At 45.9% G+C, this 21,156-nt stretch overlaps 1 long non-coding RNA gene and 2 other non-coding genes across 5 annotated transcripts, besides 4 other annotated features; 2 read left to right on the top strand and 1 right to left on the bottom strand.

The window, feature by feature from the left end:
* Nucleotides 1-5,670: 5,670 nt before the first annotated feature.
* Nucleotides 5,671-10,183, bottom strand: LOC105374852 (uncharacterized). 3 transcript variants are annotated; one of them, XR_940335.4, is made up of 3 exons: nucleotides 9,954-10,167; nucleotides 6,221-6,312; nucleotides 5,671-6,126 (listed from the first exon to the last, which is right to left on the bottom strand). It is a non-coding gene; the product is annotated as an uncharacterized LOC105374852 (long non-coding RNA). The 3 variants fall into 3 exon arrangements; XR_940337.2 differs by lacking the exon at nucleotides 9,954-10,167 and adding an exon at nucleotides 9,531-9,944; XR_940336.4 differs by lacking the exon at nucleotides 6,221-6,312 and having other exon boundaries at nucleotides 9,954-10,183.
* Nucleotides 7,253-7,768: an enhancer, noted in NCBI's record as "H3K4me1 hESC enhancer chr2:88318573-88319088 (GRCh37/hg19 assembly coordinates)". NCBI's record gives its function as "activates a minimal SCP1, AML or CMV promoter by ChIP-STARR-seq in naive H9 embryonic stem cells {active_cell/tissue: H9 hESC(naive)}" and the evidence as "EXISTENCE:reporter gene assay evidence [ECO:0000049][PMID:30033119]".
* Nucleotides 9,783-9,852: a silencer, noted in NCBI's record as "silent region_11726". NCBI's record gives its function as "represses an Ori minimal core promoter by ATAC-STARR-seq in GM12878 lymphoblastoid cells {active_cell/tissue: GM12878}" and the evidence as "EXISTENCE:reporter gene assay evidence [ECO:0000049][PMID:35858748]".
* Nucleotides 10,103-10,252: an enhancer, noted in NCBI's record as "active region_16166". NCBI's record gives its function as "activates an Ori minimal core promoter by ATAC-STARR-seq in GM12878 lymphoblastoid cells {active_cell/tissue: GM12878}" and the evidence as "EXISTENCE:reporter gene assay evidence [ECO:0000049][PMID:35858748]".
* RNU2-63P (RNA, U2 small nuclear 63, pseudogene) lies at nucleotides 10,275-10,464 on the top strand. The gene has a single exon (NR_199865.1). It is a non-coding gene; the product is annotated as an RNA, U2 small nuclear 63, pseudogene (small nuclear RNA).
* Nucleotides 10,465-15,619: 5,155 nt separating this feature from the next.
* LOC124906185 (small nucleolar RNA U13) lies at nucleotides 15,620-15,720 on the top strand. Its single transcript, XR_007088769.1, has one exon. It is a non-coding gene; the product is annotated as a small nucleolar RNA U13 (small nucleolar RNA).
* Nucleotides 19,458-19,752: an enhancer, noted in NCBI's record as "tiled region #1338; K562 Activating non-DNase unmatched - State 23:Low". NCBI's record gives its function as "activates a minimal TATA promoter and a strong SV40 promoter by Sharpr-MPRA in K562 cells {active_cell/tissue: K562}" and the evidence as "EXISTENCE:reporter gene assay evidence [ECO:0000049][PMID:27701403]".

The raw sequence follows: 21,156 nt of genomic DNA, 5'->3' as shown, positions 1-21,156 counted from the left end.
AAGCAAGTTTATTAGGAAAGTAAAGGAATAGAAGAATGGCTACTCCACAGACAGAGCAGCCCAGAGGGCTGCTGGTTGCCCATTTTTATGGTTATTTCTTGATGATGTGCATCCCCCTTTTAGGCCATATAGGGTAACTTCCTGACTTGGCCATGGCATTTGTAAATTATCACGGCGATGCTGGGAGTGTAGCAGTGAGGAAGACCAGTGGTCACTCTCGGTGGCCATCTTGGTTTTGGTGGGTTTTGTCCGGCTTCTTTTCTGCAAGCTGTTTTATCGGCAAGGTTTTTATGATCTGTATTTTGTGCTGACCTCTTATCTCATCCTGTGGCTTACAGTGCCTTAACCATCTGGGACTACAAGCCCAATAGGTTTCAGCCTCATTTTACCCAGCTCCTATTCAAGATGGAGTTGCTCTGGTTCACATGCCTCTCACATGCCCACAGTTTTTTCAGATAGTTAAAACTGAAGAGAGAGGAGTTTATCAGAAATAAAATGCCATTAAATTATTCTGTCCTAATCAGTGTTTTCATTCTAATAATCCCCTTTTTTGTGATACGCATCTCAAGTATTTAAGCATCACTATTTTGTTGTAGAAAGACTGATGGCCTGAGAATCTGAATCGCAGGAGTCTAGTCTCAGCTATGCCATGAAGTTGTTATGTGACTTTGGGGAAGTCAATTACTTCATCTTCCTCATTATCAAATATGACTAGAAAGACTGGCCTCTAAAAATGCCTTGGATAACAAGAAGACTCTGTGAAATGAAAATTCCCAAGCCCCACTTAAAAAAAGAAAAAAAAATTCTCTTTGTATTCTACAATGTTGTGCTTACATGTCTATTATAATATTAACATTAAAATTGTCTTGCTAAAATTATTTTTACCATGGTAGGGAGATGGAAATTCACACACAAAAGTTATCTGCCCTTCCCATTTTGTATTCTAAAATACAACTTTTAGCCTGAAAAGATAAACACTGGATACAATCATTATTACTTAAGCTTTTATTAGCATGCCTATACTCTTAACTCTTCCCATCTGTGATTTTTTTTAACCATCTGTGATTTTTAATTGTGTGTGTCACCTTGACTGGGCTAAAGGATGTCTGAGTAGCTGGTAAACATTGTTTCTGGGTGTGTCTGTGAAGGTGTTTCCAGAAGAGATTAATAATATTTGAATTGGTGAATTAGTAAAGCAGATGGCCTTCCCAATGTGATCATCCAATCTGTTGAGGCCCCAAACAGAACAAAAGGGAGGAAGAAGGGCAAATTTGCCTACTCTTTTTTTGCTGAGACATCCATCTTCTCCTTTTCTTGGACATTGGTGCTCCTGGTTCTCAGGGCTTCACATTCAGCTAGAACTTACACCATCAGCCCTACCCCCCCAAGTTCCCAGGCCTTCACACTCTGAATTAAACCACAGGCTTTCCTAGTTATCCATCTTACAGATGGCAGATTGTGGGTCTTCTCAGCCTCCATAATCATTTCACATGAGCCAGTTCCTATAATAAATCTCAAAACACACAGGCCAGGCGCGGTGGCTCATGCCTGTAATCCCAGCACTTTGGGAGGCCACCAGAGTTCAGGAGTTTGAGACCAGCCTGGCCAACATGGCGAAGCCTTGTCTCTACTAAAAATACAAAATTAGCCAGGTGTGGTGGCACACGCCTGTAATCCCAGCTACTCGGGAGGCTGAGGCAGGAGAGTTGCTTGAACCCGGGAGGCGGAGGTTGCAGTGAGCGAAGATCGTGCCATTGCACTCCAGCCTGGGCAAAAAGAGTTAAACTCCATCTCAAAAAAAAAAAAAAAAAAAATCATCTTAGACTGTGGCCTAGAAGGGGAAAAGGTGACCATTAGAACCCAACATGGAATTGTTATAGGAGTTATTAAGAAATTATTTTAGGCAGCTAGAGAGGAAAAGGGGGTCCTTGGGAAGTTGTTTCTTTTAAAGCAGCTCCAGAAACATTTATCTAGCAGGAAAGCCCCTGCTCTTAGAGCTGGGCTGGCAAGCTTTGCTATGCAAATCCCGGCCATTAGAAACTGGGTCCACCCAGACATGGCGATTCCCTCAGTCTTCTCCCTTGCCCCAACATATCCCCATGTGTGTAGAATGACATGGCACCCTGCATTTGCATGTTAAAAGGCTAGGATGGGAGGGCCAGTTTTTTCACGGGCTACGTGAATGACATACCTGTCTAACCAATCCCCTGGGCCCTATGGAAACCAGACACCGCCTCCTCCAGCATCCCAGTATAAGCAGCCACTTTTCTGCGGCACACAGGGTTTTCTCTTTGTTTGAATCCCTCCTCCCTTTATCTCTGTACAGGGGAGCTGTTTTCTTCTTCTTTCCTTCTTTCTAGCCTATTAAACTTTTTGCTTCTTAAAACCAATCCATGTGTGTCCATGTCAATCCTGTCAGCGCGAGACCAAGGACCCTGGTGTTCCTCCAGTCATCGGAGCTGTATCAGAATCACCAAGAACAGAAAAATTAGACTATTCCCGTTCCTTGATTACTTAATCCTATCAATAAGGAAATAAACTTAGTGATATATTTGCCTATAGGTAAGGAATATAACTTTTTTTTAAGATTTGGACAAAATGATAATATAGGCTAAAAAACTATATGATTAGGTAGATTTATAATTGACTATGTGACTAGTCTCCAAGTGACTGAGTAGATCCCCAAATCAACTGTTCTTCCATGGCACTGACAGAGTAAGATTTTGTGCAGTGATTTTACTCCCTCTGTTTTTAACATGTCTGGTCTACTGGTCAAAAGAAAACCGAAGTAGAGCACAAGCAGGCTGTGAATTATCAGTCCTAAAAGATTCCTTCTTCTCTGAAAACCCCAAGATAGTATAGTCTTTATTGACAGGTATTACAAACAAGGTCAGCTGAATTATCAGCATTTTTAGAGTTGACAAAATTCTTTTCCACAGGTTATTTTGAGTCTAATGCTTGGGGGAAGTTCAAAACTACCGTTGACCCTTGAACAACATGGCCTTGAATTGCACAGGTCCACTTATACACAGATTTTCTTCTGCCTCTGCCACACTTAAGACAGCAAGACCAAGGCCGGGCGTGGTGGCTCACGCCTGTAATCTCAGCACTTTGGGAGTTCGAGGCGGACGGATCACCTGAGGTCGGGAGTTCGAGACCAGCCTGACCAACATGGAGAAACCCCGTCTCTACTAAAAATATAAAATTAGCCGGGCATGGTGGCGCATGTAATCCCAGCTACTCGGGAGGCTGAGGCAGGAGAATCACTTGAACCCAGGAGACGGAGGTTGCAGTGAGCTAAGATCACACCATTGCACTCCAGTCTAGGCAACTAGAGCGAAACTCCATCTCAAAAAAAAAAAGACAGCAAGACCAACCCCCTCCTCTTCTCCTCCTGAGCCTACCCAACTAATGTTGAGGATGAAGATTTTTATGATGATCCACTTCTACTTAATAGTAAATCTATGGTCTCTTCCTTATGATTTTTAGTAACATTTTGTTCTCTAGCTTACTGTATTGTAAGAATATAGCATGTAATAGAGGTAACATGCAAAATAGGTGTTAATCAACTGTTTATGATATGGTAAGTCTTCCAGTCAACAGCAGGCCATTAGTAAAGTTTTGGGAGAGTCAAAAGTTATACTCGGATTTTCTACTGCACAGGGTTCAGAGCCTCTAACCCCCACGTTGTTCAGGAGCCAACTACCTAAGAATATTCAGTAAGATACCAAAGTACTGTGATTTCTTCCAAATGGTTTCAAAATAGATGCCATGGTTCAGTTGTTAGCAGCACACAACTGAACTACACTGAGTGGAGCAGGCAGATTCTTTTTCCAATTTTTAAATTAAAACCATAAAAATTGAGTAAGGGCATACTACAAGTACGTGATAATGACAGTCTTGAGGAAGCACCTATGACTTGCATGATAGTTTTTAAAAATTTAGGACAGCCAGGTACGATGGTTCACACCTGTGATAAAAGAAAAACTTCAGCCAAATTAAATTTAAAGGAGTTTAATTGAGCAATAAACAGTTCAAGAATTGGGCAGCCTTCCCAGCCAGAGTAGGCTCGGACACTCCAGCGCAGTCACACGGTGGAAGGTTTGCGGACAGAAAATGGAAGTGAGGTACAGAAACAGCTGGGCTTGGCTACAGCTTGGCATTTGCCTTATCTGAACGTGGTTTGAACAGTTGGCTACATTTGATTGGCCAAAACTCAGTGATTGGCACAAGTGTAGTCTGTTTACACCTCCACTTGTCACGATATACAGACAAACCTTTAGGCCAAACTTAAATATATAAGGAGGCAGCTTTAGGCTAAACTTGATTTCAATACCTGTATTCCAACACTTTGGGAGGCCGAGGCGGGAGGATCACTTGAGCCTAGAAGTTAGAGATCAGCCCAAGCAACATAGTGAGACCTTGTCTCTGTGAAAATAAATTAGCCAGGCATGGTAGCATGTACCTGTAGTCCCAGCTACTCAGGAGACTGAGGCCAGAGGATTATCTGAGTCCAGGAGTTCAAGGTTGTAGTGAGCTACAAGAGCGCCACTGCGCTCCCTCCTGGGCCCCAGAGCAAGAACCTATCTCAAAAAGAAAAAAATCATGACATAAGCAATTATGTGGAAATAAGGTCACGCCTGTCAAAGTAATCAGCTGAAAGCAGTTGCCTCTGAGGTGCTGGAAAGGGGGAAAGTGGAGATAAGGGAACTACTTTTCTTTAAAAAAAAAAAAAAAAGACATAAAACTAACACTTCAGGCCAGGTGAAGTGGCTCATGCCTGTAATCCCAGCACTTTGGGAGGCCAAAGCGGTTGGATCACCTGAGGTCAGGGGTTCGAGACCAGCCTGACTAACATGGTGAAACCCTGTCTCTACTAAAAATACAAAAATTAGCTGGGCATGGTGCCGGGCGCCTGTAATCCCAGCTACTCGGGAGGCTGAGGCAGGAGAATTGCTTGAACCGGGGAGATAGAGGATGCAGTGAGCCGAGATTGCACCATTGCACTCCAGCCTGGGTGACAGAGCGAGACTGTCTCAAAAAAAAAAAAAAAACAAAAGCAAAAACAAACAAAAAAAATTAACACTTCATTACCTCTGAATGGAGTGACATTAAAAAATGTTTTTTTTTTTTTTTTTTTTTTTTTTTTTTTTTTTTTTTGAGACGGAGTCTCGCTCTGTCGCCCAGGCTGGAGTGCAGTGGCGGGATCTCGGCTCACTGCAAGCTCCGCCTCCCGGGTTCACGCCATTCTCCTGCCTCAGCCTCCCAAGTAGCTGGGACTACAGGCGCCCGCCACTACGCCCGGCTAATTTTTTGTATTTTTAGTAGAGACGGGGTTTCACCGCTATAGCCGGGATGGTCTCGATCTCCTTAATAAATAAAAACAATTTAATACTTCAAACTATGGGCACACAAAACGTTGATAAAAATAAAAAATTTAGAAATCTATTATTAATAGGACAGCATGTTGAGAGACTTTAAAGGAGTTTTTTTTAAGTATTTTAAAAATAATCTCAAATTTATAGAAGTCTTGGAATTAAAGTACGAAGAACTTTTGTTTTGCTAAATGATTTGAAAGTTCCTGAGCTGACTTCTTATAACCCCTACATACTGTGTGTCTTCTGTAAACAAGGACTGAATCCAATAAAATTGTAATATAGCTAGCAAAAATCAGGAAATCAACATTACTATATTTCTACCATCCAACCAACAGACCTATTCAAGTTTTGCCAAGTCAGGATCCAGTTCAGAATCACCACTGCACTTATTTCTCACATCTCTTTCATCTTCAGTCTGGAACAGTTCTTCAGTCTTTCCTTAACTTTCATGACCTTTAACACTTCTATTACAGGCCAATTATTTTGTAGAATTTTCCTTAATTTGAATTTGTTGCTTTAGGATTAGATTCCAATTATATATTATTGGCAGGAGCATCATAGAAGTGATGCTGTGTTCTTCTTGCTAGACTATCAGGAGGCACACGATTGCAATTTGTCCTATTACTGATGATGTTCATTTTGGTTACTTGATTAAGGTGGCACCTGCCAGATTTTTCCACTGTGAAGTGACTTCCTTCTGTAACTGATGAATATTTTGTGAAGAGCTGCTTCGAAATTACGTAAATATCTGTTGATTTGAAAATACAACAAAATTATACTATGAATTGAATAATACATCTAAATTAATTTGCATTTTATCAATGACAACCAGATCCACATACTTTTGCAAAACAGTTGCAGGTGTGTGTGTGCAACAGGTTGTTGACTTAGGCAATGTGTGGAATGTTCTGGATTCCTAGACCCCAGGCAGTAGCTGTAAGACAGTTTTGAACTTTCAAGTAAGACAAACTTAGTTTTGATTTCCAGTTGTACACTTAGAAGCTATGGATGGTAGATTCTTTGTTGGGGAAAATAGCAGCAATTCTCACTCCCTGTGTCCACCCCTTTGGTTGTCCCCTTCCATACCGGCTGGCCATGCCTTTGTGACCTGCTTTGGCCAATGGGAGAATAGCAAATATGACATAAGTGAGACATGGAAAGTTCTTGTGTTGCTGCCCTTATGCTGCTTTTGCAACTCAACCCCTATGTTCAAGCTCTCCTGGATGAGACTTGCAGTCGCATCCCCATCACCCAGCTGACGATGAGCTCCTCCTGTCCCTAAAATATGAGGCCCCTTGGCCATCCAGCCCCCAACCAGTTGTTGAGAAACAAGTATTACCTGTTTGAAATCATAAATAGTTGGGTGGTTTATGATGCAGCAAAAACTAACTTACCTACAACATGACCTCATATGAGTTTCTTAATTTCTCTGAGTCTCAGCTTTCTCATCTATAGGATGGAGATAAGGCAATCACCCTTGCTATTTTGAGGATTAAATGAGAAAATATATGGGAAGTGCTTGGCATAGCATAAATACTCAACACATATGGTAATTTTTTAAAAACCCTCTATATTAGTCCCTTTTAATTAAAATTTTAATTAAAAGAAAAACAAAACAAAACAAAAACCTCTGCTGGCTGGACTAGGGGCAGCCCTCGGGCTAGATGCACTGATTTAGTACTTTTAATAGTGGCAGGAGGCAGACAAACCCCTAGGCAGATAGTGGCATGTCCCCAATGAAACCCAACTTTCAAACCAAAGGCAGTTTAAAGTCGGAAAGCTAAGCTACAAGTCTTGGATAAATCCATGGACTGAACTGAGAACCTCTCTTCCTGTTGGTGCACTTTCCTCTGACTGATCCCCACCCTTCACTTACTTTACATGTATCTACCCTTCCCTAATTGGTTTTCTACACTGTCATGCCACCTTTGAATGGTGCCTTTGTTTTAGCCTTTTTTGCATACTTGTAAACCAATCAGCATGCAGTCCCCACTTCTGAGCCCATAAAAGCCCCAGACCCAGCCACACTGAGAGAGAGACCACCCGACTTCAGGTCAGGGACCACCCTTGCATCCCCTCTCAGCTGAGAGCTGTTTCATCGCTTCATAAAACTCTTCTCCGCCCTTTTCACCCTTCCATTGTCAGCAAAGGGTATGAAAAAGGCAGTAACACCATAGCCCTCCACATCTCCCCCACCGTCTGTGCCCAGTGGCAACCCCTTGCCATGAGCAGCAGTGCAGGGCCAGGCCAGCCAGGGAGCCTCCAGCAGGAGCAGGCAACAGGACTGACAGAGTTGTTAACACACCCCCCGTTTGTTGTTAACATGCCCCTGTTTGTCAGGCTGCTGACAGTGGGACTAAAACAGCTGTTAGCATGGCTGTAACACCCCCTCTGGGGCTTCAGAGTCGAGCGCTTTCCTGTTTGGGTGCCACCACGTTCCCTTCATCTGGATGCCAGAGTTCACCCCAGGAGTCGCTTCTGACAGGCCTGATCCAGCTGCAGGCCCCAAAGGGACCCCACTCCTGTGCCAGCACTTGGAGTGGCTGGCAAGATGAGGCACTCACTTGATCACACACCCCCTCCTACTGGGGCTGAGCATGCAGTCTCGGTGGCTGCAGGATCCCCACCAGAGTGCAAGCCCAAGTGGGCAGGGCACCTCCTGCCTGGGGCAGAGCTAGGCATGGGCAGGGGCATCACCAGCCAGAAGTCTGCAGTTGGAAAATTGAGAAAAATCCTGCGTCACTTTGGAAGCAGCCTTCCTATCCTAGAATGCCAGAGGGCAAGCATCTGAAAGATCTGGAAGGATAAGGCAGCAAAGGCCAAGATGTGAAAGTGCACTGCCCCTGTCAGAGGCGATCGAACTAGAGCGATTCCATCTTGAATAGGCGCTGGGTAAAATAAGGCTGAGAGCTGCGAGGCTGCATTCCCACTAGCTTAGGCATTCTAAGTCAGGATGAGATAGAAAGTCCGCACAAGATACAGGTCACAAAGACCTTGCTGATAAAACAGGATGCAGTAAAGGAGCTGGCCAAAACCAAGATGGTGATGAAAGTGACCTCTGGTCATCCTCACTGCTCATTCTATGCTAATTATAATGCATTTCCATGCTAAATGACACTCCTGCCACTGCCGTGACAGTCTACAAATGCCATGGCAACATCAGGAAGTTACCCTATAGTGTCTAAAAAGGGGAGGAACCCTCAGTTGCAGGAATTGGCTTTCCCGGAAAACTCATGAATAATCCACCCTTTGTTTAGCAGATGATCAAGAAATAACTGTAAGTATAGTCAGTCGAGCAGCTCATGCCGCTGCTCTGCCTATGGAGTAACCATTCTTTTATTCCTTTACTTTCTTAATAAGCTTGCTTTCACTTTATGGACTTGCCCCAAATTCCTTCTTGCAGGAGGTCCAAGAACCCTCTCTTGGGGTCTGGATAGGGACCCTTTTCCAGTAACATCCCCATCACAGCCCTAATCATTAGGGGACCCTCTAGGCTCTTCCCTGCCCTCCCCAGACTGTCTTCCTTAAACATGCTGGATGCAGGGGTGCATCAGTGACTCCGCTGGTGCCTCCAGGAACATAAAGTATGGACCTCTGTGGACAACAAACAACCCAAAGAAAAGACGACCCCTCACAGGCAGGATGGATATCCACTTATATGTACGTCGGTGTGCTGGGGCCGGGAGGCTTCTAATAACAATGTTACCGCTGCTTCACACGGAACAAAGCTGAGGCTCAGAGAGATTAAGGAACTTGTCCAGGGCCATACCGGAGTCCAGGCCCGTGTGCTGTCATGGTCTGAGGTTTGAACTCCAACCGTTTAAAGAGCTGGGATAGAACTGGGGAGGGAGTGTGGTGGGTGGAAACAGCGGGCAGATAGATGGTGGCTGGACTCCAAGGGGCCTAGGGTCTGCCAGAGGGACAACAAGTGAGGAAAACAGGCCTCGGGGTGGATGAGCGAATCCTCAGAGGAGGATGGGCGCAGACCCGGAGGGCCGTGAAAGGTGACAGGGTTATTACAATCTTGGTCGCATAAGAAAGGGGGTAACTAGCGGTTTCTCGGCTGAAAAAGAGGAGGTGGGCTGGAGGTTCCCCCCTCCAACCGCGCGGAGCACGCAGCCTCTCAGCAGGCTGCCACACAGGGTCCCCCACCTCCGCAGCTGCGGGGCCTGAACTCGCCAAAAGGAGGTTCCTCCTGCACGCGCGGCTTCACCCTCCCTCCAGGGCTCCCGTTGCATTTCACGCCCTGCCTAAGGTCGCCCGCCGGTGAGGGCGGAGGAGGAAGAACCGCAGCTCCCGAGGACAGAATCCGCTTCAAGGCACCTTGACCGTCGCCCACCCACACCCTGGCTGCGGCCCGCCGCCCTGGTCCCCATCGCGCTGTACGGTCTTCCCTTCCAACACCGAGGGCGTTACAAGGCCGCCCTGTCCCTGCCACTCATTCTTATTAGTGACTCCTCCCCCATGCTTTCCTCAGGTGAGTTCCCACCGCTCTGCCCGAAACAGTTTCGTCCCACACTTTTACGGCCACTTCACCCCAAATTCCCTTCCGTCTGGGCAAATCTTGTCCTTTACCCGGCATTGGGGTCGCTCCAGAGCTTTCAAACCAGCTTCCCCAGGGCGCTGTGCAGGGCCCGGCCCCTTGGTGGCCACGCCTCCCGGGCGCAGAGCGGGTGGGACATGCAAATGAACGGCCCTCGCGACCAAGGAAAAGGGGCGACAAAGCTCGAAGTCACTAAGAGTCAAGGAGCGGACAAAATGTCTCAAAGGGCCTATGTTTTCAATATAATATTTACATCAGAAAGCAGGTGAGATGTTTACCGAAGGTGAGGTTTCTCACCGTGACCTTAAGGTGGATGAAAGAAGGGAGGACGTGGGAGGCCCCGGGTAACTGGTATCTCTTTTTTGCTGTTTGGTTAATGATTGAGTGTAGTGTGTGTTCTTATCAGTTTAATATCTGGTATGTTCTTCTGTTTGATGAACGCTATATTAAACGCAGTTTTGGAACGGGGAGTTGGAGTAAGAGTTTACTCTATCTAGTCTACGCATCGATTTGGTATTGCAGTACTTCCAGAAACGGTGCACCTGCTAACCATTAGTGACAAAAACAGGTTTGTAATTTTGGAAACCTCAGAAGGTTGCTTCCAATTTCACAGCAATATGGCTAAAGAAGAAAAAACAGGTATGCTAGCAGTTTAAGAAACAGGGGTCTACAACTTTGATTAAATTTTCCAAAACGAGGTGGCTGACACACGCAATCCCAGCTCTTTTTGAAAGAAAATGGCTTGAGCCCACGAGTTCAAGATCAGCCTGAGCAAATATGGCGAGACTCAGTCTTTTGAGATAGTGCGATCCTGGCTTACTCACTGCATCTTTGGACTCCTGGGTTCGAACATCCACATCAGCCTCTCAGCAGACACGTGCCATAACAACGGGCTAGTGTGTATTTTTTTGTTTTCATATGTATATATGGTTTTTGTTTTTGTTTGGTAGAGAGGGGTGTTTCCCCCGCGTTACCCAGACTAGTCTCAGACTCCTGGGATTTGGGCTTTGGGATCAAGCGATCCTCACCCCCAACCCCAAAGTGCTGGGATTACAGGTATGAGCCACTGCACCTGGCACTCTACCAAAAAAAAAATGTTTTTAATTAGCTAGGCATGGTGGCTCATGCCTGTAGTCCCAGCTACCCAAGAAGCTGAAGTGGGAGGATCGCATGAATCCAGGAGGTCAAGGAGCCATGATTGTGCCACTGCACTCCAGCCTGGATGACAAAGCAAGACCCTGTCTCAAAAAATAACAAAGATAAAAAGGAGGCCGGGCGTGGTGGCTCACGCCTGTAATCCCAGCACTTTGGGAGGCCGAGTCGGGCAGATCGCCTGAGGTCAGGCGTTTGAGACTAGCCTGGCCAACATGGTGAAACCCTGTCTCTACTAAAAATACAGAAATTAGCTGGGCATGATGGTGGGTGCCTGTAATCTCAGCAAAGAACAATCGCTTGAACCTGGGAGGTGGAGGTTGCAGTGATCCAAGATCCCGCGACTGCACTCCAGCCTGGGCAACAGAGCGAGACTCTGTCTCAATAAAAAAAAAAAATAAAAATACCAGCCTGGTCCACATGGTGAAATCCCATCTCTACTAAAAATACAAAAATTAGCCGGGCGTAGTGGCGGGTGCCTGTAATCCCAGCTACTCGGGAGGCTGAGGCAGGAGAATTGCTTGAACCTGGGAGGTGGAGGTTGCAGTGAGCTGAGATCAAGCCACTGCACTCCAGCCTGGGCGACAGAGAGACCTTGTCTCAAAAAAATAAAATAAATAAGGAAAGGCCAGGTGCGGTGGCTCACGCCTGTAATGCCAGCACTTTGGGAGGCAGAGGTGGGCAGATACCCTGAGGTCAAGAATTCGAGACCAGCCTGGCCAACATGTTGAAACTCAGTCTCTACTGAAAATACAACAATTAGCTGGGGCGTGGTGGTGCACGCCTGTAATCCCAGTTACACCCGGCCTGTAATCCCAGTTACACCGGAGGCTGAGGCAGGAGAAACACTTAAGCCCTGGAGGCAGAGGGTGCAGTGAGCAGAGATCCACCACTGCACTCCAGCCAGGGTGACAAAGGGAGACTCCGCCTCAAAAAATAAAAGTAAAAAATAAATAAATAAATAAAAGGGAAAAAGGCAGGTTTCATATTAAAACGGAGGGCATGAGGGATAGAGCCATACTGGAGTCATCAGTTACCTGGAGCACTGTTCTTCTGCTCCTAAAACCCACTTATTATTTTGTTCTCAGGAAGTGGATGTGTCAGATATTACATAATAAGCACAGATACTACCCTTGATCTTGGGTAGAAGCAATAAATTGCATTTTTGATTACAAATCTTTAGTCTTTCTATAGGTAAAATAAAATTTCATTTGCAAAACTTATTTACTCCTAAGGGCTTGAGGACACAGCCATTGATTGGTAAAGGTGTGGTGTTTTTGAGTCTTTCTTCTACTGTTGGTGGAGGTGGGTTTATATCATCCTTGGGTACGTTATGACAAGATTAAAGGAAGATGGGGAAATGAGTTGCTCATTGAGGAAAGGTCAGGGAAATCTAACTGCATAGTTCTTTTTCAAAATAAAAGTTGCATAGCAGCCTCACCTCATCTGTTATAAACCAGGACAGGACAGGCATGGTGGCTCAAGCCTGTAATCCTAGCATTTTGGGAGGCTGAGGTGGACAGAGCACTTGAGCCCAGGAGTTCGAAACCAGCCTGGACAACATGGCAAAACCCTGTCTCTAGAAAGAAATACAAAAACTTAGCCGGATATGGTGGTGTACGCCTGTAGTCCCAGCTACTTGGGAGGCTGAGGTAGAAGGATCACTTGAGCCTAGGGAGGTTGAAGCTGCAGTGAGCCATTATAGCTCCACTGAACTCCAGCCTGGGTGACAGAAGCAGACCTTTTCTCAAAAATAAATAAATAAATAATAAAAGCAGGACAAGGGAGTTTTATACCCTGGTACCCCCAAAAGAGATGTTGAAATGGGAAGTATGCAGTACTTGTTCCCCTTTGTGGGCTAAGCAAGCATGGGCTTTACTTGGTTATTGGAACTTTTGGCCCTCCAGGGTGAAACCGTAGACATAGGAGCAGCTTAGGGACAAGAGAGAGCCATGGAAATAATGGATAAAGTAAGCAAGAAAGTGATCTGTTTAGCATATAAATGCTCCACACCAAGGTTTATTTCAGGGCTGGAAGAGCCTTAAGGAGTCTGGGTGGGGCAGCCCTTGTCCATCACAGCAACAAGAATATCCCTTTTTGATAAATTTCAGCATCTACAGCCCTTGGCAATGCCATCATTAAGTGACTCCTGGCCCAGCTCAGTGGCTCAGGCCTGTAATGCCAGCACTTTGGGAGGCAGAGGCGGGTGGATCACCTGAGGTCAGGAGTTCAAGACCAGCCTGGCCAACATGGTGAAATCATGTCTCTACTGAAAATACAAAAATTAGCTGGGCATGGTGGTGCATGCCTGTAGTCCCAGCTACTCGAGAGGCTGAGGCAGGAGAATCACTTGAACCCTGGAGGCAGAGGTTGCAGTGAGCCGAGATTGCACCACTGCACTCCAGCCTGGGCTACAGAGTGAGACTCCATCTCAAAAAAAGAAAAGAAAAGAAAAGAAAGAAAGAAAGAAAAGAAGTGAGCCCTTTCCTGCTTTCACTTCAGCTTGTCTGATAATAACTAGCATCTGCCTTCTGTACATTAGATATCTTCCAAGTCTCTAGAGCTTATAAAACAGCAAGAGCAGAAATCCCACACACTGTGGGGAGGTAGAATGGAAGGAGGGCAGGCATTGGCCTTGGAATCAGAAGATGGGTTTGAACATGCTATTTTCTATAGGTGGCTAAGGGCAGGTCACTTAACCTCTTTAAACTTTACTTTTCATCTTAAAATGGAACTAAAAAAAAAAAACCCATTTGCCTCAGCAAGGGTTATTTGAAGATGAAATGTGCCAGTACCATGCCCATATATGTTACTTGAATCAAATAATCAGAGCGCAACATTAGGGAGCCCACAATAAAGTGTGAAATTTCATGGTGCTGAGCCTGACATTCAGGGCTGCCCAAAGGTGAAATCTGTGCCTACCTGCTCAATGGTGACAATAATCTCACCAAGACTGGGCAGCTACACAGCCTGGACTTGCAGGGGCCTCCATTTTGTTTCTTCTCCCACTTTATCTTCCTTTCTCCCAAATTTCTTCACATTGCAATTTTTTTTTTTTTTTTTTTGACAAGGAGTCTTGCTCTGTCGCCCAGGCTGGAGTGCAGTGGCGCGATCTTGGCTCACTGCAAGCTCCGCCTCCTGGGTTCACGCTATTCTCCTGCCTCAGCCTCCCGAGTAGCTGGGACTACAGGTGCCCGCCACCACGCCAGGCTAATTTTTTTGTATTTTTAGTACAGATGGGGTTTCACCGTGTCAGTCAGGATGGTCTCGATCTCCTGACCTTGTGATCTGCCTGCCTCGGCCTCCCAAAGTGCTGGGATTACAGGCGTGAGCCACCGTGCCCAGCCTTTTTTTTTTTTCCTCTCTCTTTTTTTTGAGACAGAGTCTCACTCTGTCGCCCAGGCTGGAGAGCAGTGGCGCGATCTCAGCTCACTGCAACCTCCACCTCCTGGATGCAAGAGAATCACTTGCCTCAGTCTCTCAAGTAGCTGGGATTACAGGCGCATGCCACCATGCCTGGCTAATTTTTGCATTTTTAGTTGAGATGGGGTTTCGCCATGTTTCCAGGCTGGTCTCGAACTCCTGACCTCAGGTGATCTGCCCACCTTGGGCTTCCCAAAGTGCTGGGATTACAGGAGTGAGCCACTACACCCATCCTGCAAATATTCTTTTAATAAAGTCCTTATCTTTGTAAGCTTCTTCAGTACTTGAAATCACACCTAGCTGGGTGCTGTGGCTCATACCTGTAATCCCAGTACTTTGGGAAGCCAAGGCAGGAGGATCACTTGAGCTCAGGAGTTCTGAGACCAGCCTGGGCAACATGGTGAAAATCTGTCTCTACTGCACACACCTGTGCATGTGTGCATGCCTGTGGCACACACCTGTGGTCCTAGCTACTGAGGAGGCTAAGGTGGAAGGATCAGTGGAGCCCGGGAAGTCAAGGCTTCAGAGAGCCGTGATCGCGCTACTGCACTCCAGCCTGGGTGAGAGTGAGACCCTTTCTCAAAAAAATAAATAAAACATTTAAAAGCGAAATTACATCTGACATAAATAAGCAAACCCACAAATTGCACAGGCATTATATGTGACATTGGGCCTAGGGCTTAAAACGTGTGGCCTTTCAGGATTCTAGGAGAAGTTTGGTGGACAAAGTCCATCTTCTGGGAACACAAAAGAATAAAGAATGCTTATATAAATGGAGCCGTAAGCCATATTCATATACTGAAAGTTGTAACGCTGGAAAGATGTCAGTTCTCCTCAAATTAACCTACAGATTCGGTGTAGCCCCAAGCAAAACTGCAAGTGTTTACAGAAATTGATGAGCCAGATTTAAAGTTTATATATAAACAAAATGCCAAGAGAAATCAACACATACTTGAATACGGAAAGACAGGAATAGGGAGATGACTTGCTCTAGCAAATATAAAGACTTCTCATGAAGCTACAGTAATGAAGACAGAGGAGTACTGGTGCAAAGATATGACAGAATACAGAAACCAGATGCAGAACTATGAACAAATGGACATTTGTTGAATAACAAAGGCAGATCTGTTTGCAGTTCATAAGCATGATGATTGGATTTTCACACTCATGTGTGGGATGAGCCTTTCTCAAACCTGGTAAGGTCTGCCTGTTACCAGTCCAACATAAGAAAAAAATAAAATAAAATAAAATAACAAAGAACTTCAGAGCAGTGAGGGAGACAAACTTCAGTAAATGGTGTTGGAAAAGTATGGTATGTGATATTGTGAGATACATATTTGGTCTTCCCATTTCCTGGCATACAACTCCTAAAATCCTTAGACTCTCCAAAGTGATATATTTTTGTGTGCTAATGAGTTGATTGATGGCTGGCAACCCCTAGGTAGCTTCAGAAGGGAGCTAGTCACAAGAAAGACCAAGGCAGGATTAGAGGGGTGGGATTTTTGTGCTCTGACCCCCAACCTCCAGGGAGGGGACAGGGGCTGAAGGCTAAGTTGATCACCAATGGCCAGTGGTTTAATCAATCATGCCTATGTAGTGAAGCCTCCATAAAAACCCAAAAGGACAGGGTTCAGATGAGCTTGTGGACAGCCGAATGGAGGTTCCTAGAGGGTGGAACATGGGGAGGAGCTTGGGAAGGACCTGGAAGTTCCCCCCCCTTCCCTCATATCTCACCCTCTGCAGCTCTTCATCTAGTGTTCATTGGTATCCTTTCTAATATATTTTATAATAAACTAGCAACCATAAGTAAGTGTTTCCCTGAGTTCTGTGAGCCACTCTGGCAAATTAACTGAACCTAAGGAGGAGGTCCTGGGAACCCTAATTCATAGCTGGTTGATCAGCAGCACAAGTAAAACAGCCTGGGGCTTGCAACTGGCCTCCAAAGTCAGGGGCAGGGGCAGTTTTGGGGACTGAGTCCTCAACCTGTGGGACCTGACGCCATCTCCAGGTTGAGAGTGTGAGAAGTGAATTAGATTAGAGTGCACCCACTGGTGTCAGCTGCAGAATTGACTGTTTGCTTGGTGTGTGGGGGAAAACTCCATACATTTGGTCACAGAAGTCTTCTGTGTTGATTGTTGAGTGAGAGAACAGAAAAAACAGAAACCCCTTGGGTTCCCCCCACCATATCTTCAAACAAATGAAGTAGGATGCCTGCCTCACGGCTTGCACAAAAATCAATTCCAGTTGAACTATATATCTATGAAGCTTTTACTTTGTATTTACTTATTTTATTTTTTTGAGACAGAGTCTTGCTCTGTCACCCAGGCTGGAGTGCAGTGGTACAATCTCAGCTCACTGCAACCTCCACCTCCTGGGTTCAAGCGATTCTCCTGCCTCAGCCTCCCATGTAACTGGAATCACAGGTGTGCACTATCATGCGCAGCTAATTTTTATATTTTTAGTGGAGATGATGGGGTTTTGCCATGTTGGCAAGGCTGGTCTGGAACTCCTGGCCTCAAGCAGTCCACCCTCCTTGGCCTCCCAAAGTGTTGGGATTACAGGTGTAAGCCACCTCACCCAGCCACCATGAAGCTTTTTTTTAAATTTTTTTTATTTTTTTGAGACAGAGTCTCGCTCTGTCATCCAGGCTCACGTGCAGTGGCATGATCTTGGCTCACTGCAACCTCCGTCTCCTGGGTTCAAGCGATTCTCCTACCTCAGCCTTCCGAGTAGCTGGGACTACAGGCGTGCACCACCATGCCCAGCTAATTTTTTTATTTTTAGTAGAGATGGGGCTTAGCCATGCTGGCTAGGCTGATCTTGAATTCCTGATCTCAAGTGATCCGCCCACCTCGGCCTCCCAAAGTGCTGGGATTACAGGCGTGAGCCACCGCACTGGCCCACTATGAAGCTTTTATAAGGCGTCATATGAGAATATGTTTATGATCTATGGCAATGTTTCTGAAACATGGGGACTTCTGGCAATGTCTGATGACATTTTTGGTTGTCACAACTAGGTTGGAAGGGAGTTGCTACTGTTATCTAGTGGGTAGAGGCCACGGATGCTGCTAAACATCCTATAATGCACAGGACAGCCCCTCTCAACAAAGAATCATCTGACCCAAAATGTCATCAGTGCCAGGTGGAGAAACCCTGGTCTAGGATTAGGAAAATATATCTTAAACATGACATTAAAAAGCACTATCCCTCTCGGGAGGCAGAGGTTGCAGTGAGCCGAGATAGAGCCACTGCACTCCAGCCTGGGTGACAGAGGGAGACTCCATCTCAAAAAAAACAAAACAAAAAAAAAGCACTATGCCTGTTAAGTTTGATTCCTATGTTGGACAACATTAAGTGTCCATCAAAAGATACCACCACCCAGGGAATGAAAATACAAGGCAAACAGTGGGAGATCTCCACAACACACAGAGCCAGCAGAGGGCTCATTCTTAGAAGACAGATAAGCAAAAAATGCAAACGACCCAACACAAGAATGTTCTAGAGACCTGGACCCCCGTGGCACAAAAGAGAAAAACACTGGCCAATAGACATAAAGAAGGTACTCAGTACCATTGTAAACAGGAAATGTTGATTAAAATCACAATTAGATATGGAATTCAAGGTTTGACAATTACAAGTGTTGGAAAGAATGTGAAGCCCCCAAACACTGCTGGGGGAAGGATGTAAATTGATATTAACTGGGTGGGCGCGGTGGCTCACGCCTGTAATCCCAGCACTTTGGGAGTCCGAGGCGGGCGGATCACGAGGTCAGGAGTTCGAGACCAGCCTGGCCAATATGGTGAAACCACATCTCTACCAAAAATACAAAAATTAGCCAGGTATGGTGGCGTGTGCCTGTAGTCCCAGCTACTCAGGAGGCTGAGGCAGAAGAATCGCTTGAACCTGGGAGGCAGAGGTTGCAGTGAGCTGAGATCACACCCCTGCACTCCAGCCTGGGTGACACAGCAAGACTTCGTCTCAAAAAAATAAATAAATAAAATAAATACAAAAAATAAGCCAGGCATGGTGGTGGGCACCTGTAATCCCAGCTACTCCGGAGGCTGAGGAGGAGAACTGCTTGAACCCGGGAGGCCGAGGCTGCAGTGAGCTGAGATCACGCCACTGCACTCCAGCCTGGGCAACAAGAGTGAAATTCTGTCTCAAAAAAAAAAAATTGGTATTAACCTCTTTTGAAAAACCTTTGGTATTACTATGTCTGATAAAGCTGAATACACCATGTTGTGTAGCACAGAAATCCCACTTCTAGGTAAACACTCTGTAGTAATGCAAGTTTATGTATATCAGGAAGTATATACAAGAATATTCATGACAGTGTTGTTTAAAATGGCCTGGACTTGGGACAGTCACAATGCCCTTGAACAGATCAATAATCTGTTAATATCCCTCTATCTATATACACACACATATATACATAATGCACACACATATATGTGTGAATATATGAAATATATATACTTTTTTTCAAGAATAGAATACCATACAGCTGTGAAAATGAACGTGGTAAAATTCAGAAATACACTGTACAAAAAAGTGCAGTGTACAATTCCATTTACATAAAGTACATTCCAAAAAACAGGCAAAACTATAGTATTTCGAGTCTTGCATGTAAGTAATAAACTATCCAGAAAAGCAACGATGAGATTTCCCCCCAAAACACAGGCTAGTGGGGGACAAAGGGACAGTTAAGGTTAGGAGGGAAAGGAGACACATCTGGCATGTGGCTCGGTTCTGTTTGCTGACCTGAATGGTGGTTGGATGGACTTTGTCTTAGTGATAAACCATTGTGCTGTAGATTTTCGTTTCGTGCACACTTCTGCATGTATGCTATATTTCACAAATTAAGAATTAGTGTTTTATTAAATTTTTTTCAAGATAAACTCTTCAGACAGGATTTAATAATACTGATTAGGTTATAGGCTGATTGCGTTCCAAGGCGATAAACTTGGGCGTTCCTAAATCACTTTAGTGTCTGTAATTGAATTTGTTTCTCCTGAGAATGGAGCTGTGGGAAGAGAAGGCCTAAAACCAAAGAGGCGGGGGCGAAGGAGGGGGTGTGGCTTCCTGCTTCCTGGGACTGGTAAGCAGCGAGGAAGCTGGAATTCTCCTGGAGCTCAGAGTAAAGCTCCCCGCGCCGTGCTAGAGCTCCTAATTTGCTTCTGAGTTCTATCTAACCAGGTGGGCCTCTGCACTCTGTGGGGCCCCGACGACTGTAGTCTAAAGGGTGTGAGGGTTCCATCTGTTTTGTGGAAATTTCTCTCAGTAAACTAATGCATGGCAGTGATTCCAGGTAAGAGGTGAACCAGACGTTTGGCGGCGTTTGGATGACTAGTTGTTATGGAAGACGGCTGAGGGGCAAATGAGAGGAGGCTGTGTGGGACGCACAGCTGAAGTGGGTAGGACTCCTTAGATCTGGGGTTCTTAGTGGAACTAAACATGTTGGGAGAGGTCAGGGCCTTTCTTCACTCATGTATTCATTCAGCAAGTATTTATTAAGCATCTACGTCAAGCACAATTTGACATGTTGAGGAAACAGCAGTCAAGGAATCTCTACCCATGAGGCGGAGTCTCCCTCTGTTGCCCAGGCTGGAGTGCAGTGTCGCCATTTTGGGTCACTGCAACCTCCGCCTCCCAGGTTCAAGTGATTCTCCTGCCTGAGCCTCCCAAGTAGCTGGGACTACAGGCGTACTACCATGCCCAGCTAATTTTTGTATTTTTAGTAGAGATGAGGTTTCACCATGTTGGCCAGGCTGGTCTTAAATGCCGACCTTCAGTGATCCTCCCACCTCGGCCTCCCAGAGTGCTGGGATTTCAGGGGTGAGCCACCACACCCAGCCAAGAGAACCAGCATCTTAACAGCTCTGCTGGGCGCAGTGGCTCACGCCTGTAATCCCAGCACTTTGGGAAGCCAAAATGGTTGGATTGCTTGAGTCCAGCAGATCCAGACCAGCCTGGGCAACATGGCAAAACCCCATCTCTACTAAAAATACAAAAAATGAACCGGGCGTGGTCACGTGCGCCTGTGGTCCCAGATACTCAGGTGGCTGAGGTGGGAGTAATTGAGTAATCGATTACTTTAGCCCAGGAGGTCAAGGCTGCAGTGAGCTGTGATTGTGCCACTGCACTCCGGCCTGAGCAACAGCGCAAGACCCTGTCTCAAAACCCTCGAGATATCTCAGTATCATAAAGCACTCTATTAGGGAATGGTGATGTCCTGGAGGAAAATCAAGCAGGGAAGGGGCAGAGGGTGTCCCATGGGGAGGGTCGTCAAAACTCTGAGAAGGTGACATTTCCAGCTAAGACCAGGGAGGCAAGGGGGCTTCCAGTGTGGGTGCAGAGGTAAAGAGCTTTGCAGGGTTAGGGACGGGGAGGACCTGAGGCCAGGGTGTGCTTCTCTGCTGCCTTCCAGCTGGGAGACGAGTGTGGCTGGACAGGAGGAGCAAGAGGATGGTAGTCAGAGAGAAACTGGAGGCCTCAGGACAGGGAGTGACCCACAGTGTCAGGCCTTGTAGGCACCGTGGGAATCTGGGCTTCCTTCTGAGGGAGGGATGGAGGAGCTCTCTAATGCTTTTTTTGTTGTTTGTTTTGGGACAGAGTCTCGCTCTGTCGCCTCCACCTCCTGGGTTCAAGCGATTCTCCTGC

This window comes from Homo sapiens, chromosome 2, assembly GCF_000001405.40.
Source record: "Homo sapiens chromosome 2, GRCh38.p14 Primary Assembly".
Taxonomy (NCBI): domain Eukaryota; kingdom Metazoa; phylum Chordata; class Mammalia; order Primates; family Hominidae; genus Homo; species Homo sapiens.
The sequence above is the reverse complement of the archived record's forward strand: the minus strand, read 5'-3'. Positions and strand labels throughout refer to the sequence as shown.